This window comes from Homo sapiens, chromosome 12 (genome assembly GCF_000001405.40).
Source record: "Homo sapiens chromosome 12, GRCh38.p14 Primary Assembly".
Taxonomy (NCBI): Eukaryota; Metazoa; Chordata; class Mammalia; order Primates; family Hominidae; genus Homo; species Homo sapiens.
The window spans coordinates 102325792-102342471 of NC_000012.12; the positions used below are offsets into that span (position 1 = coordinate 102325792).

The 16680-nt window shown below is 39.3% G+C and overlaps 1 long non-coding RNA gene across 1 annotated transcript in view, besides 1 other annotated feature; it reads left to right on the forward strand.

Moving 5' to 3' along the window:
- LINC02456 (long intergenic non-protein coding RNA 2456) overlaps positions 1–16680 on the forward strand; it is a 432422-nt gene that overhangs the window by 46218 nt on the left and 369524 nt on the right. The gene's annotated exons all lie outside the window — the stretch shown is intronic.
- Positions 1308–1477: an enhancer, noted in NCBI's record as "experimental_23014 CRE fragment used in MPRA reporter constructs". NCBI's record gives its function as "activates a minimal promoter by MPRAs in K562 erythroleukemia cells, with activity observed for both the introgressed and non-introgressed 12:102720962 variant alleles {active_cell/tissue: K562}" and the evidence as "EXISTENCE:reporter gene assay evidence [ECO:0000049][PMID:34662402]".

Here is a 16680-nt window from a genome sequence, read left to right on the forward strand (position 1 = left end):
TGCTGCCATGTGAAGAAGGACGTGTTTGCTTCCCCTTCCACCATGATTGTAAGTTTCTTGAGGCCTCCCCCGCCCTGTGGAACTGTGAGTCAATTAAACCTCCTTCCTTTATAAATTACCCAGTCTCAGATATGTCCTTATAGAGGTGGGAGAAGGGACTAATACAGTAAATTGGTACCACAGAGAGTGGGGCGCTGCTGTAAAGGTACCTGAAAATGTGGAAGTAACTTTGGAACTGGGTAACAGGCAGAGGTTGAAACCATTTGGAGGGCTCAGAAGACAGGAAAATGTGGGAAAGTTTGGAAACTCTTAGAGACTTGGAGGGCTAAGAAGGCAGGAAGAAGTGGGAAAGTTTGGAACTTCCTAGAGACTTGTCGAATGGCTTTGACTAAAATGCTGATAGTGATATGGGCAATAAAGTCCAGGCTGAGGTGGTCTCAGATGGAGATGAGGAACTTGTTGGAAACTGGAGTAAATGTCACTCTTGCTATGCAAAGAGACTGGCGGCATTTTGCCCCTGCCCTAGAGATCTGTGAAACTTTAAACTTGAGAGAGATGATTTAGGGAATCTGACAGAAGCAATTTCTAAGTGGCAAGGTGTTCAAGAGGAAGCAGAGCATAAAAGTTTGGAAAATTTGCAGCCTGATTATGTGACAGAAAAGAAAAACCCATTTTCTTGGGAGAAATTCAAGCCGGCTGCTGAAATTTGCATATGTGATGAGGAGCCGAATGTTAATCACTGAGGCAATGTGGCAGCTGTTTTCAGGGCATGTCAGAAACATGTCAAAGTTCTCAGGTATCCTATAATCCCCATGGGTCATGGGAAGGACTTAGTGGGAGGTAATTGAATCATGGGGGCGGTTACCTCCATGCTGTTCTGATGATAGTGAGTGAGTTCTCATGAGAGTTGATGATTTTATAAGGGGCTTTCCCCTCCTTTTCTCTGCACTTGTCTCTCTTGCCACCATGTGAAGGAGGACGTGTTTGGTTCCCCTTCCACCATGATTGTAAGTTTTCTGAGGCCTCCCCAACCATGCTGAACTGTGAGTCAATTAAACATCTTTCCTTTATCAATTACCGAGTCTTGGGTATGTCCTTATTAGCAGCATGAGAATGGACTAATTCTCTGCCACATTTGGGATAAAATTTCAACACAAATTTTGGTTTGCTATTCAAACCATAGCAAAAGGATACTTTCCTTCTTGTAGTTTTATCAACATCTTCCAGGACATAAATTTAATGGTAAACAACAGGTAAAATAAATGACATTGCTCAAAGGAATGCAATTAAAACCTAACTGCTATTGCATTTAATCCATAGAGGAATGTGACCCAGGTCTGGGGAGAGGGAGCACTGCATTATGTTTCATTCTCATGCCATGTGAGAATGTTTACACCAGCTTGAGTTGTTGTGATGGGGTCGTCCATATCATTTGGTTCTTGTCCTTGTGACTCACTGCTTCTGCTGTAGAGTTAGCTTCCTGCAGTGGAAAAGGGAGGAGTTATTTTCCAGACCATATGGAGTAGAAAACAACAGATTGACATAGGTTTTGTGGAAGCTAAAGGCACATGAACTGAAGCCTCCCAGAGTGTAACCTTGCAAAACTCTTTAAAATAGCATTTTCATAGAGGTGTTTAGTATTTAGGATCTATCTTAAAACCTTAAGATTCCAAAGTTAGCTTACAGAAAATAGGCAAGAGAGGATAAATTGTATTAGGTATGGAATTTCACTGCCTCTGCTTGTGTTTCCAGGTTGGAGAAGCTGGAGAAAAGAATGCTTCCCTTTGATTTACCTGGGCTGGGGAGTATGACAATGTCCATGTGTGTGTATAGGAGATTCTTGTACTTAAACTCTGTAAATGTGTGTTTCTGTGGTCCTATGCTGGGTGGAGGGTTCAACTAAGGTATTGTTAAGGAATATGGATGAGCCAAAAAGACTGGAAAGTTTCAAATGCATGTGTGTTTCCAACTAATATTGGAGAAAACTTTTTTGGCATCGAACACTGGCAATTTATAGACTTGTTGATTGATAGTGGATTTACCTTTAGAGTGTACCTGGATTATAGAGGAATCTAGCTTCCCTGTCTAACTCATTTATCATAAGCTTACTGAATAACTGCTATGGACTATGCATGTGTTAGATGCTGGGGTAGAAAGATAAATAGGACACAGTCCCACAGGAATTATAGTCTAGTGGAGAGAGGTGTATATAAACAGTCACAGAACAATGTGATAAGTATTATGATGAAGGAATATGTAATAACTGCTAGCAAAGAGAAGGAAACATTTAAACCTGCTTGGGAGTGGAGGGAAAAGTCAGAGAAAGCTCTATAAAAAAGCTAACTATATAATATGTTTGGTAGGATGAGTTACTTGGCAAATGGGCTGGAGTTACACACCCAGTTGGGGAATATGTTGCCTCCAAAATCCAAAGAGCCCCATTAGGCGTTGTGCTTTTCTTTTCTTTTCTTTTTTTTTTTTTTTTTTTTTTAACTGTAGGAAGCACCAGATGCAATAGCTTATTCCTTGCCTTTTAATTCTTTTAATTCCTGCAAGATAAATAATCCAAGCCAAAATGAAGCAGAAATATCATTAGACTGTCACCAGTTAAGGCTCCAGATTAATTGTCTGAGAGGTAGAGAAGAGAAACAGGAAAGCAGAAATAGACTTTAATTTAAAACACAAGCAAGTAAGAGTGGATCAGTCAAGGGGTTCTGGCAAGAAACACAGAAGAAACACAGCATATTCTGAAGAGTAGAACTGATTTGTGAAGAGACTATGTCAGAGCCATGATAAGAAAACCAACAAAGGATAGTGAGGCACCCAGGGACTAGCAACATCAGGGAGCTATTAGTACTCTTGGGGCTGCAGGGGCCAGGGAAGGAAATGGTGTTAATGAGCCCAGTGAAAGCTGGCGTCATGGAGGAGGGGAAATAGTTTATCATGAAAACAGAACTATGGCTCCTCACTCACAATCACTTCCAGACATGAACCACTTTACAGACTCAGAATACCCTGAATGAAGGGAAGGCTGGATCCCCTTGAGGAAGGACCCCTGTACGTGGACAAATATTTACACTGTTAATATTCCTCCCAGAATTCCACAAAGAGCTTTATGCCTTTTTAATGGTACTGTGCATTGGGAAAAAAAACAAAACAAATAATTTGAACTTTCAGAGATTACTGGACACTGGCTCTGAACTGACAGTAATTCCAGGAGACTCAACACATCACTGTGGTCTACCAGTCAGAGTAGGGGCTTATAGAGGTCAGGTGATTAGTGAAGCTTTGGCTCCAGTTTATCTCACAGTGGGCCCGATGGGTACCTGAACACATCCTGTGATTATTTCTCCAGTTCTAGAATGCATAATTGCAATAGATACATTCAGCAGCTGTTGGAATCCCCTCATTGGTTCCCTTACCTGCACAGTAAGGACTACTGTAGTGGGAAAGACCTAGTGGGAGCAGCCACTAGAACTGCCTCTACAGAGGAAAATAGCAAACCAAAAGGAATGCTGCATTTTTGGAGGAATTGCAGAGATTAGTGCTGCCATCAAGGACTTGAAAGATGCAGGGGTGATGATTACTACTCCCCACTCAACTCTCTTATTTGGCCTGTGCATAGAACAGATGGATCTTGGAGAATAGCAGTTAAGTAAGCTTAACCAGGAGGTGACTCCAATTGCTGCATTTCATTGCTTGAGCAAACTAACACATCCCTTGGTACCTGGTATGCAGCTATTGATCTGGCAAATGCTTTTCCTTCATACCTGTCAATAAAAACCATCAGAAGCAGTTTGCCTTCAGCTGGAAAGGCCAGTAATATACCTTCACTATTCTACCTCAGAAGTAGATCAACTCTCCAGCCTTACACCATAATTTAGTTCACATGGATCTTGATCATCTTTCTCTTCAAAAGGATATTATACTGGTTTGTCATATTAGTGACATTATGCTGTTTGGAAGTAGTGAGCAAGAAGTAGCAACTACTCTAGACTTAAGTCATTTGCATTTCAGAAGGTGGGAAATAAATGAGACAAAAAATGGAAAGACTTTCTATCTCAGTAAAATGCCTAAGGGTGACAACCCCCTCACCCCCCACCACTGCCAAAAAAATAAGAACAATGCTTAATGGACCTCTTTGGATTTTGGAGTCAACATATTCCTCATTTGGGTATGTTACTCCAGACCATTTGCTAAGTAACCTGAAAAGCTGCTAATTTTAAGTGGAACCTAGAACAGGGGAAGGCTCTACAACAGGTCCAGGCTGCTGTGCAAGCTGCTTTGGCTCTTGCATCATATCATCCAACAGACCCAATGGTGCTTAAAATGTTAGTGGCAGGTAGGGAAGCTATTTGGAGCCTCTGCCAGGCTCCTATAAGTAAATTTAGGCATAGTCCTTTAGGATTTTGGAATAAAGCTCTGCCATCCTCTGCACATAACTATTTTTTTTTTTTTTAAGGAACAGCTGATGGCCTACTACAAGGCCTTAATAGAGACTGACTGCTTAATCATGGGCTACAAAGTTACGGTGCAACCTGAGCTGCCCATCATGGTGTTTTGACTCACCAAGCCATAAGTTTGGGCATATACCACTTCAAATGGAAGTGGTATATATGTGATAGGACCTAAGAAAGCCCCAAAGGCACAAGTAAGTTACACAAAGAAGTGGTCTAAATGCCAATGGTTTCAACTCCTGTTACACTGCCTTCTCTCCCTCAGTCTGCACTTATGGCCTCATGAGGAGCTCCCTATCATCTTAGTACATTTTCTGTTGCTATACCGGAATCAAGCAGACTGGGTAATTTATAAAGAGTAGAAGCTTATTTGGCTTACAGCCTTAGAGGCTGGAAGGTTCAAAAGCATGGTGGCAGCTTCCAGTGAGGGCTTTTCATACTGCATTATAACATGATGGAGAAGTGGAAGGAGAAGTGGGTGTGTGTGAAATGATCAAAACATGAGGAGTGGCCTCAGTTTATAATACCCCCAGCCCAATCTTGTGGTAATGAATCAAGTTCCATGACAGTGAGAACTCATTCCCCAGAGAATTAACTGAGTCCTTCAAGAGTGACATTAATCCCATTTAAGGACCCAATGATGTCTTCTTCTTCTTTCTTCTTTCTTCTTCTTCTTCTTTCTTCTTTCTTCTTCTTTCTGAGACAGGGTCTCACTCTATCACCCAGGCTGGAGTGCAGTGGTGTGATCTTGGCTCACTGTGACCTCAACTTCTTGGGCTCAAACAATTCTCCCACCTCAGCCTCCTGAGTAGCTGGAACTACAGGCGTGCACCACCATGCCTGGCTAATTTTTTATTTCTTGTAGAGATGGGGTTTTGCCACATAGCCCAGGCTGATCTCAAACTCCTGCACTCAAGCAATCTTTCCTCCTTGACCTCCCAAAGTGCTGGGATTATAGGCATGAGGCACTGCACCCAGCCACAATGACTTTTTAAAGTCCCTACCTCCCAACACTGTTGCACCAAGAACCAAATTTCTAACACATTAATTCTGAGGGTACACTCAAACTATAGCACCTATGATCAATTGATAGGAGAAAAGATTACTCAGACCTAGTTTATAGATAGTTCTGTATGATATACAGGAATCAATGGGTGAAAAGTGAGAGTTGCACCATTCACAATTACATTCCATTCACATTCACAATTTGCTAATGACCCACTAGCAAAACTTTTTTTTCCTTGTTCCTATGACCCTGTTCTCTGCTGGCCTAGAAGTCTTAGTTCCAAATGGAGAAATGGTTCCACCAAGAGACACAACAATGATTCCATTGAACTGCAAGATAAGAGTGCCACCTGGACACTTTGAACATGCCTCTGAATCAGCAGAAAAAGAAGGGAGTTATTGTGTAGACTGAGTGAAGTAGATTGCCTTCCCCAGTATGGTTGGGCTTCGTGCAATCCATTGAAGGCCTGCATAGAACAAAAAGAAGAAAAAAATAGAAGTCACTCTTTGCTTGACTGTCTTCCAGCTGGGACATTGATTGTTCCCTGGCTTTGCCCTAGAACTTGTGCTAGAACTTACATCTTTGGATCTACAGGTTCTCAGATCTTTGAACTCAGACTGAAACTTATACCATTGGCTCTCCTGGTCCTTACCCACTGGACTCAGAGAAGAAGTATCTCACTGGCTTTCTTGGTCCTCCTGCTAGATGACTGTAGATCCTGAAAATTTCTAGCTTCCATAACCATGTGAGTCAATTTCTTCTAATAAATATATATCTATATTTACATCTTCATCTATATCTTTATCTTCTATTCTGTTTCTCTGGATAATTCATACCAATACATATTTTGGTACTGAAAAGTGTTTGTAGTTCTGTCATAACAAATACCTAAACATGTGGAAGTGGCTCTGGAATTGGGTAATGAATAGAGGCTGGAAGTATTTTGAGGTGCATGCTAGAAATATGGATGTTAAGAGCAATTCTGATGAGCTCTCAGATGAAATGAGAAACATATTTTTGGAAACTGGAAGAAAGGCGATCTTTGTTATAATATGGAAAAGAATTTGGCTGAATTATGTTTGGGTTCTAGTGTTTGTGGAAGGTAGATCTTGCAAATGATGATATTGGATATTTAGTTGAGGATATGTCTAAGCAAATGTTTAAGAAGTGGCTTGCTTCCACCTGACTGCTTATACTAAAACCTGATAAGAGACAGTTGAAGAAGGGATTGTTAAAGGATAAGTTGAAGAAGGAATTGTTAAGCAAAAAGGAACCTGAATTTGAAGATTTGGAACAGTTTCAGCCTACGTATATTGCAAAAAAATGAAAAAGTATTCAGAAGAGAACACCAAGGGTGTGCCTGGACTGTCATTCAATGAAGAGCTTATGGGACTATATAAGCAGCAACATTGCCAGTTTAAACTGAAGGAGATGCAGAAAGGACTAAAGGAAGGAAGGTTATTAGACTCATCAGGATTTGTGGGGGAAAAGATGAAAGAGTCTTTTGGCTGTGAACATGTGCTATCCTTCAATAAGAGGAAAAATGACCCTAAAGGTAATTCAGAAATTAACAGAGCCACCATCTTGTTTTCAATAAGTCAGATGCCCTCTTTCTTGAAGCTGTGAGGCCAGGACCACTTTGTTGTGCTGAAGGATCAGGACACCTTGAAGAACGCTGGGGACAGGGTGCCTGGAAGGGCCATGAATACAGGATCTCTGCCCCCATGGGTTTTGAAGATAGGACCCCAGTGGGTCTGGAAGATAGAGAATCAAGTCAAAGAGAATGATTCTTGAGCCTTAAGATCTGATGGAATGTATCTTACTAGGTTTTAGATTTGTTTGGGACTAATCATCCTTTTCTTTCCTATTTTTCTCTCTTGTAATAGAAAGGTCTTTCCTATGGCTGGCTCGCCATTTTAGAAGTACATGACTTGTTTGGTTTCACAGATTCAGAGCTGAATCTGAAGAGGAATTTTGCTTCAGGATGAATTGTACCTTGAGTCTCACTCATACTTGATTCAAATGATATTTCGATAAGACTATGGACTTTAGACTTTAGAGTTGATGCTGGCATAAATTCAGACTTTTGAGGCTGTTGGGATGAAATAAATGTACTTTGCATACAATAAGAACATAAATTTTGGGGGGCCAGGGGTGGAATATTATGGACTGAATGTTTCTGTCATCACTGAATGTCATGTGTTAAAACCCTAACTACCAATGTAATGTGGTTTGAAGATGGGGCATTTGCACAGTAATTATAGCTAGGTGAAGTCATGAGGATGGGAATCCTCATGATGGGATTGTTGTACTTCTAAGGGGAAGATCCTCTCTCTCTCTCTCGGCTCCCCACTCCCCAACTCTACCCTAGGTGAGAGCACAGAGAGAAAGTGGCCATCTAAAAGCTGGAAAGATAACCCTCACCAGAACTCAAACATGCTGGCACCTGATCTCACACTTACAACCTCCACAAACGTGATAAAAAAAAATTCTGTAATTTAAGACCTGTAGCCTATGGCTGGCATTTTGTTATAGCAGCCCAAGCACACTAAAACAGTCAATTAAGTTTATAATATTATTCAGATCTTCTATCACTCATCAACTAATTTTTTGTGTCTACTTGTCCTGTTAATTAGTAATAGAGGTGTGTCCGAAGTCTCCAACTGTAATTGTATATTTGTCTATTTCTCCTTTCAGTTCTATAGATTTTGCTTTATTTTGGAGTTTTATTGGGTGCATATACATGTAGCAATATTATGTCTTTTTAATGAATTGACCCTTTTATAATTACATAATGTTGATGTTAATATACCTTATTCTGAATACTACTTTAGCTAATATTAATATAAGCACTGCAGCTTCCCTTAATTAATAGTATAATTTTTCCATCCTTTTACTTTTTCCTTTGTCTTTATAAGTAGATTTATTGTAGACAACATATAATTGCATTTTACTTGTTTGTCCAACCTGACAATGTTAGGCTTTAATTGGAGTGCTAATTCCAGATGTATTTAATGTAAGTATTGATATGTTTGGGTTTAAATATACCATCTTGCTAAATGTTTTCTACTTGTCCCATTGGTTCCTTGTTTTTCCTTTCCTCTTTTAGTGCCTACTTTTGAACTAAATATTTTTCATTATTATATTTATTTTCAAAATTGGCTTATTAGTGGTTTCTCTAGGATTTAAACATCTTTAACTTATCACAGTTTACTTCCAAATGTATCACTTTACATAGAGTGTAGTAGCTTTACCACATATACTTCTATTTCCTTTCTTCCAACCTTAGTGCTATTGTTGTTACAGTTTTTACTTCTGTGTGTATTATCAACCCCATAATATATTGTTACTATTATAGTTTTAGACAATTATATTTTAAAGGAATTCAAAATTTAAAACATCTTTTATACTTAACCATATTTTTACCATTTCTATGCTCTTCATTCTTTCACACAGATGTAATTTTCTATCTGGTATCATATTTCTTGTGCCTAAAGAACTTTCAATAGGTTAGTTGCAGGTCTGCTGGCAATGAATTCCCTAAGCTTTTGTTGGTCTGAGAAAGTTTTTATTTTATCTTTATTCTGAAAGCTATTTTTGCTGGATATATCATTATCAGTTTATTGTTGTGCTTGTTTTATTACTTTGAAGATGTTACATCATCTGCTGAACTGCATAGTTTCTAAAAAGAAGTCTGGTGTGATTCTTATCTTCCTCCCTATGTAATGTTTCCTTTTTCCTCTTCTACATCAAGATTTTTCTCTTTAAACTTGAATTTCAGCAGTTTGACTACAATTTTCATAGCTGTGTTTTTAAAATTTTTGTTTATATTGCTTAGAGTTTTCTGAGATTCTTTGGTCTGGTTTTTTTTTTTTGCTTTTTGTTTCTGTTTTTGCCTTCAATTTACTTCAGACAATTCTTGATCATTACCTCTTCAAATATTTCTTTGGTTCTTGCTGTCTTCTTATTCTGGAGATACAAGTCCATGTATATTAGACTGTTTGGTTTTATTCCCTAATTTTTGGATGATCTGTTCTTTTTTCCCATGCATTTAATTATTTAATTTTCAGTAGTTCCTGTCATCAAGTTCATCAATTATTTCCTCATTGTGTCTAGTCTACAGATAAAGTTGTCAAAGGAATAATAATAATAAAAAAACTCTAGAATTTCCATTGGTATTGGTTTCCTATTGCTGCTGTAACAAATTACCACAATGCTACTAGCTTAAAACTACACAACTTTATTATACTAAAGTTCTGGAATTCAGAAGTCTGAAATGGGTCTCAGACTTGTCTAAAATCAAGGTGTCAGTAAGGCTGCATTCCTTTAGGAGACTCTACAGGAGGATCTATTTCCTTACCTTTTCCATCTTCTAGAGACCAACTGAATTCCTTATCTCAGGACCTCTTTCTCCATCTTTAAAGCCATGTTCTCTTTCTCCATCTTTCTCCATCTTTAAAGCCAAACTGCAAATCATCTCCAAATTACTCTGTCTCTCCTGGTTCCCTCTTTCACAGTCCTTGTGATTACATTGAGCCTATCAGGATAATCCTGGATAATATTCTCATATCATGATCCTTAACTTAGTAACATTTGTAAAGTCCCTTTTGCCATGTAAGGTAATATAGTCACAGGTTCAGAGAAGTAGGACATGGACATCTTTGGTAATAATGGGGTGTCCCATTATTGTGCTGATGACACCATCTGATTCTCAGGATTTCCACCTTTAGTAGGTAGAATGGTGGCCTCTCAAAAGATATATCTATGTCCAAATCCCTGGAACCTGTGAATGTTATCTTACTTGGAAAACGGGTATTTGCAGATGAATGAAGTTCAGGTTCTTGAGAGTAGATCATCCTGGATTACTTGTGTGATTCCTAAATTCAATGATAAGTGTGTTTGTAATATACAGAAGAAGTTAAGACACAGACAGACAGAGGAGATGGCAATGTGAAGATAGAGGCTGAGATTGGAGTGCTGTGGCCACAAGTCAAGAAAGCCAAGGAATGCTGACTGCCCCCAGAAGCTGCAAAAAGCAAGGATTTTCCCTTTGCACCTCCAGGAGTGTGGCTCTGCTGACACCTTGATTTCAGACTTGAGGCTTCTAGAACTGAGAGAATAATTTTCTCTTATTTTAAGCCACCCAGTTTGTGGTAATTTGTTATGGTACCCCTAGGAAAAGAATACATCTTTCTGTTGAAATCTTTATCTCTTTAAGTATGTATTATAGTTTTTCCATTAGATCCTTTAACGTATTAATTATAATTATTTTAAAGTTCCTGTCTGTTAGTTTCAACATCTGGACCAAATTCTGAGTTTGTTTAATCTCTTGACAATGGGTTGTTATGTTCTTGCTTTTTGTGTATATGGCAATTTTGTTTACATACCAGATAATGTGTACAAAGTAACACTAGAAACTGAGCTAAATAATATTTATGCCCAGCAGTAGGCATGCTTCTTCTTCTGTTAGATCATGAGTCTTTGGGCAGTTGAGGCTCTCTGATATGTACATGAGCTGAGTTTAAGTTTGCTGTTGTCGTGTTGATATATTGTTATATTCAGTGAACCCTAGGCTTCAAATTCCTCCTGCGGTAGACAAGTGCTACCTTATCCTTAGTGTGAGGTCTGAAGTGCTAGAGGAATTTTCTAAATGTTTCTTCACTCTCAGCTTTCAGCAATCCATGTATGACTTTGCCACTGGGGGGATTTATCTCCATGTTCTTGTATTTACCCTAGCCTAGAGACTTCAGTTGTTTGTTATTCTGTGCAAGACTCATGCTGGAGTTGGAAGCTTTCACTTCTCCTGTTCCAGCCTTAGTTTCAGGCAGGTCCTGTGCTCCTGAGCCTGATGTCAGTTGTTTTGAATACCCCCATGTCTCTCCCATGACAAGCCTTTGCCTCCTTTTCAGTCCATGTTTTAGAGTGCAGGTAGGTTTCCTGTACTTCCCTCCCCGCTGAACAGGTGAACTCTGCCTCCGCCCCCAGCAATAGCAGTCCTCTTCTTTGTATTAGTGCAGGATCCTGCGCATGAGAAAGTTTTCTACCACTTTCCCAGTAGCAGCCTACCTTTGCCTGGAAATAGGGACATGACAGGGTTTCATGTCCCTCCCTCAGTGGCAGATTCATTTTACTTCATATAAAAGCATTGTCATGTCTGGGATGTGAACATGTTCTTTCTATCATCTCAACAGCGACAGATTTTACTTCCTATCTGAGAACATTCTGGGCTGTGGGAAGTAGCAGCTGCTCACCATACTGTACTCATGCAGAGCCCATTGAGAGATGAAATTCCATAGACACTCCTGTGGCCGGGCACGGTGGCTCACGCCTGTAATCCCAGCACTTTGGGAGGCCGAGGAGGGCGGATCACGAGGTCAGGAGATCGAGACCATCCTGGCTAACTTGGTGAAACCCCGTCTCTACTAAAAATACAAAAAAACAAATTAGCTGGGCGTGGTGGCGGGCGCCTGTAGTCCCAGCTACTCAGGAGGCTGAGGCAGGAGAATGGCGTGAACCCGGGAGGTGGAGCTTGCAGTGAGCCGAGATGGCGCCACTGCACTCCAGCCTGGGCAACAGAGCAAGACTCCGTCTCAAAAAAAAAAAAAAAAAAAAAAAAAAAAGAAATTCCCTAGACACTCCTGCTCTTCTCTCAAACCTCAGCAGACCCTGTACACCTGTGCCACCAAGAGGCGCCTTCTCCAGCTTCCTACCTGCCCTCAATCGTTCTTGTGAATATTCAGATGAGACCCATCAAGAACCCCATGAGTGGGTGCAGACTTGCCTGTGCCTGTGGCACCTGAAGATTCTACACTTTCACACTAGTCCACATTTGTCCTTTAAGAATGTGCTAAATTTCATCTATTTTCATCTTACTGACTCCAATAACTGCCTCCCTTCCCTCCTATTCTCCCTAAAAGGTGAAACATTTGAGTGTCCTATGTTACCTATGAGGAGCCTTTCACCCTTAGGAATTTAGTTCAACTGATCAACCTCAGCGCACTGATGAACTTGAAAACTATTTTGTAGATTTTCAGCTTTTTTTTTTTTTTTTTCCTGAGGCAGTGTAAATTATTTAAGAGTTTAGATTACCAACTTTTCCTGTTTTGGTGATAGTGACATTCTTTTGCAGTTTCTGTATCCTAAGTGAAATTAGAACTATATTCATTGATTTAACAGATATTCAAATCAACAAATGCATACCCAGAGGACCAAGTGATGTCTGAAACTTAACATATATATAATGGAACTTTTGGTTTGCCCCAACCATTGCCTGTTCCACCCTAAGCCTATCTCTGTAAGTTGTACCACTGTCCACCTAGTTGGTTAAGCCAGAAACTCAAGTGTTTTCCTGATTTTCTCTTCTTCACCTCATACATCCAATACAACAGTAACCACTATAATTATTGATTCTATTTCCGAAATAAATATAAAACCCATTTACTTTTTTCCATTATTGCTGTCACTAGTGTGGTCCAAGCTGTCATCATCTGTTGTCTGGACTTCTTTGTCAACCAGAGGATCTCACAGCTTTTACTTTTGTCCTCGTAGACTACATCATCCACCCAGCAGTCAAAGTTAAAACATAAATCTTATCACATTCTAAAAATATAAGTAAATTTTGAGCATGTCAAATCCCTGCTCAAAATCATTCAGTGTTTCCCCATTACCTTTCTAAAGGCAACTCAATCTCAACTCCTCACCATGACCTGCAAGGCCGTGAATGATCCAGCCCTGCCTATTTCCACAACAACTTCATTTGGGGCCACTTTCTTCCTCACTCACTTATTCATCTGTTGAGAAAAGAGAGGCACTTTTAACTTATACATGTCTGAAGAATCAGAGCAGCTGTGAACATACCCCAGAACTCTGAAATTTCAAAAGTATAAAATGTTAATCCAAAAAGAATTCTAAACTTCAAATAATCTTCTTTTTGCTTATTTTTTATGGCATATGTGCATTATTATTTCATCACTTTCAAAACTGACACAGTTTCCATAGTTAACTTCGAGTTATTTTTGTGAACTGACTATTGAACGAAAGCTCTCCATTTACTAACAACAGTGTAGTCTTCTGAATCTTTTAGCTCTTATTGAAAAAAACATTCCTTTGTTATAGAGTGCAATGTGGTTTGTTTTGGAGGGAGTAAAGGAGGCAGGATGTCTGTCTTTGCTTGGTTTCCTGGCCAGTGCATCTCATTTGAAAATAGTTTGTTTCAAGTAGTTAAGTCTATTCCTGGGAAGCCTCTATTTTTATATATTTTTTTAATTTTTAGACAAGGTCTTGCTCTGTTACCCGGGCTGGAGTGTGGTGGCACAATCATAGCTCATAGCAGTCTCAAACTCTTGGGCTCAAATGATCCTCCCATCTCAGCCTCCCAAGTAGCTTGGACTACAGGTGTGTACCACCATGCCTAATTGCTTTTTTTCAAAATTTTTTAGTAGAGATGAGGTCTTGCTGTGTTTTCTCAGGCTGGTCTCAAACTCCTGGGCTCAAGTGATCCTCTAACCTCAGCCTCCTGAAATGCTAGATTACAGACATGAGCCACTGTGAGCCTTTTATTTGTTTAAGTTTTATTTTTTCCTTTCTTCCCTTCTCCCTTCCTTTCTTTCTTTTGTTTTTAGACAAGTAATTTGACATTAGGAGGTCTTGAAGGTGATGGTTTCCTCTGGCAGTAGTGCCTTTTCTGTCACTGAAGGTGTTCAGTTGGTCAGAATGCATGGCCAATGGAATCATTCTTTCATTAAAGAACAAACATTTGTTAAACGCCTCCCTTTGCCAAAGCATTGGGACACTCACTAGGAGTTCAAAGATAAAAAAGCACGCTTTTTAACAAGTGTACGTTTCAGTGTCAGACATACAGTTTTAATACAACTGCTCATTGTTCTAATGGGAAATAAGAGATTCAGCCATTAAACTACTGTGTGGTGTAGAAGACCTTTTAAAATAGACTGATTTCTGAGAGTCTGTGATTTCACTTATAAGGCTTATGAGGGATTCTTAGCAAGGAAAAATGAGAATCGTTTCTGGTTATACTAATTATGAACTTTGTGAGCCTTGAGCAAGTCTCTAAACTTTCTGAAGCTCAGTTTGTTTTCTTATATTTTAAAAGAGAATATTTTGAAGAGAGATAAATGGAATAATACAAATAAAGTTCCAGCACCTATTAAGTGGGGGTAAGGTGGAGCAGTGTTTACTGAAAATGAAAATTAGATTAAAGGACAGACACTTCAGGGCCATTTTTTTTTCCTCCTCCATATGTGTGAGTGTGGATGGGGTAGGGAGAGGAGGGTGTTTTATAATAAAGAAGTAAACGGAAAGAAAAAATGTGAAGATATAGTTCACTGGGGGAAACACTGTAAATATAGACTAGTGACAGGCAATGAACTGCAGGACCTGAGCTGGTTCTGAGGCAGTGAGCCTCAGCTAGAACATCCCATATACATCGCAGGAGGATGATGACGTTTAATGTGTCAAAGTGTACGTAACTGATGACAGTTTTGTGATCAGGCTTTGTTTGCAATCATAGAGAATCCAGAAAAGTTAATTTTAATACTCTTGATTTTGACAGATAAATTCTTTTTAAAATGTAAAATTATTATTTCTCATTAAAGAAAGAAGAATAGGACATTCCTAGCCTTTTTTTTTTTTTTTTTTTTTTGAGACGAGTTCTCACCTGTCACTCAGGCTGGAGGGCAGTGGTGCGATCATGGCTCACTGCAGCCTCAACTTTCAGGCTCAAGCGATCCTCCCACCTCAGCCTCCTGCATTGCTCGGACTACAGGCACATGCTATCATGCCCATCTAAATGTTGTATTTTTTGTAGAGATGGGGTCTCGGTCTGTTGCCTGTGCTGGTCTTGAACTCCTGGGCTCAAGCAATCCTACTAACTTGGTCTCCCAAAGTGCTAGGATTACAAATGTGAGCCACTATGCCCAGCCCCTGATCTATTAACATTTTAGAAACTAGTTCTTTGTGAGGCTCTTTCATAATAAATTATCAGTATGTTACAGCATTATACAAATTGCAAGTGCTTTCACATGGATAATCTCATTTTTATCACCCCCTTTTACACATGAGAAAATTGAAGCTCAGAAATGACTAGTCTGAGGTCACACAGGTAAGATATGCCAAAGTTGAAACTTGAACTCTGGTGTTTCTTATCATGCTGCACATAAAATTATGGACTGTGCCTCAGGTTAGGAGAAATCAGAATTTTCAATGAAAATACAATTAAAATTGGATTAGTATGTCATTCTATCTTTGATCAGTCTTAACCTTAATTGGCTAATCATATAAAAGCTCTTACACTGTGATCTAATTCAGTCCTGCTGGACAAATGCTATTCTATTGTATTCAATATGATGTCACTGAAAACTTCATGGAATATATTGAGCTGGAAAGATTAGACAAACAACTCCTCACTTACGGTGCACACACGCACACACACACACACATCCCCACACACTTACACATCCCTACTCATTTAAATATAGAACTGTATACAATAATTAATATAATCAATTAATATTTACATATTACGTTATTAGTAAGTTACTTTTGAATACTCCAGTATAAATAATGTAAACAAATTAACTTTAATCAATACTTTAGGGCCAGTTAGTTACAGTAATGTAATAAAAAATGTTTAACAACCAGCTCTGGGGAGGAGTAGAGTCCTGATTTGTAGCATTTGCTGATTTCTGTCCATCAATACTCTCACCATGGCTGGTTTCAGGCTCCCAGTGTGAGGTCACCTAATGCAGGAATACAGATGCTGCTATTTAAATCTGCACCAGAGGGTTCATTGATGAGGGTAAGGGATGTTGAGCATAATTTTGGGGGATAAGTAAATGGTGTCCAATGTATGTCTGGCTGAAAAAAGATTACACAGGCATCTTTGTCCTTGAAGGAACAGTATTGAAGGACCCATCAAGCCCAGAAGCCTTACATCTTCAGAGTATCCCCTGGGTCTAGAACTTTGGTTCTACACCTCCCTATTTAATCAAGGCTCTATTACCTGATCCAATTACAGGCTTTGCTGATTCTTCTGTTAGATTATTATTGTAAAGCTTGTTGGAGTGCCTAAAAGATAGATATCAGGGACTGACTTCCTCAAGCCAGGGGAATAGTTTCTATGACTATTTTGAAGCTTGCTTGCTAATAGATATTTCTATGTAGCAGAATATTGTCTAAGATTTCCTTTATTACACTTGCCAC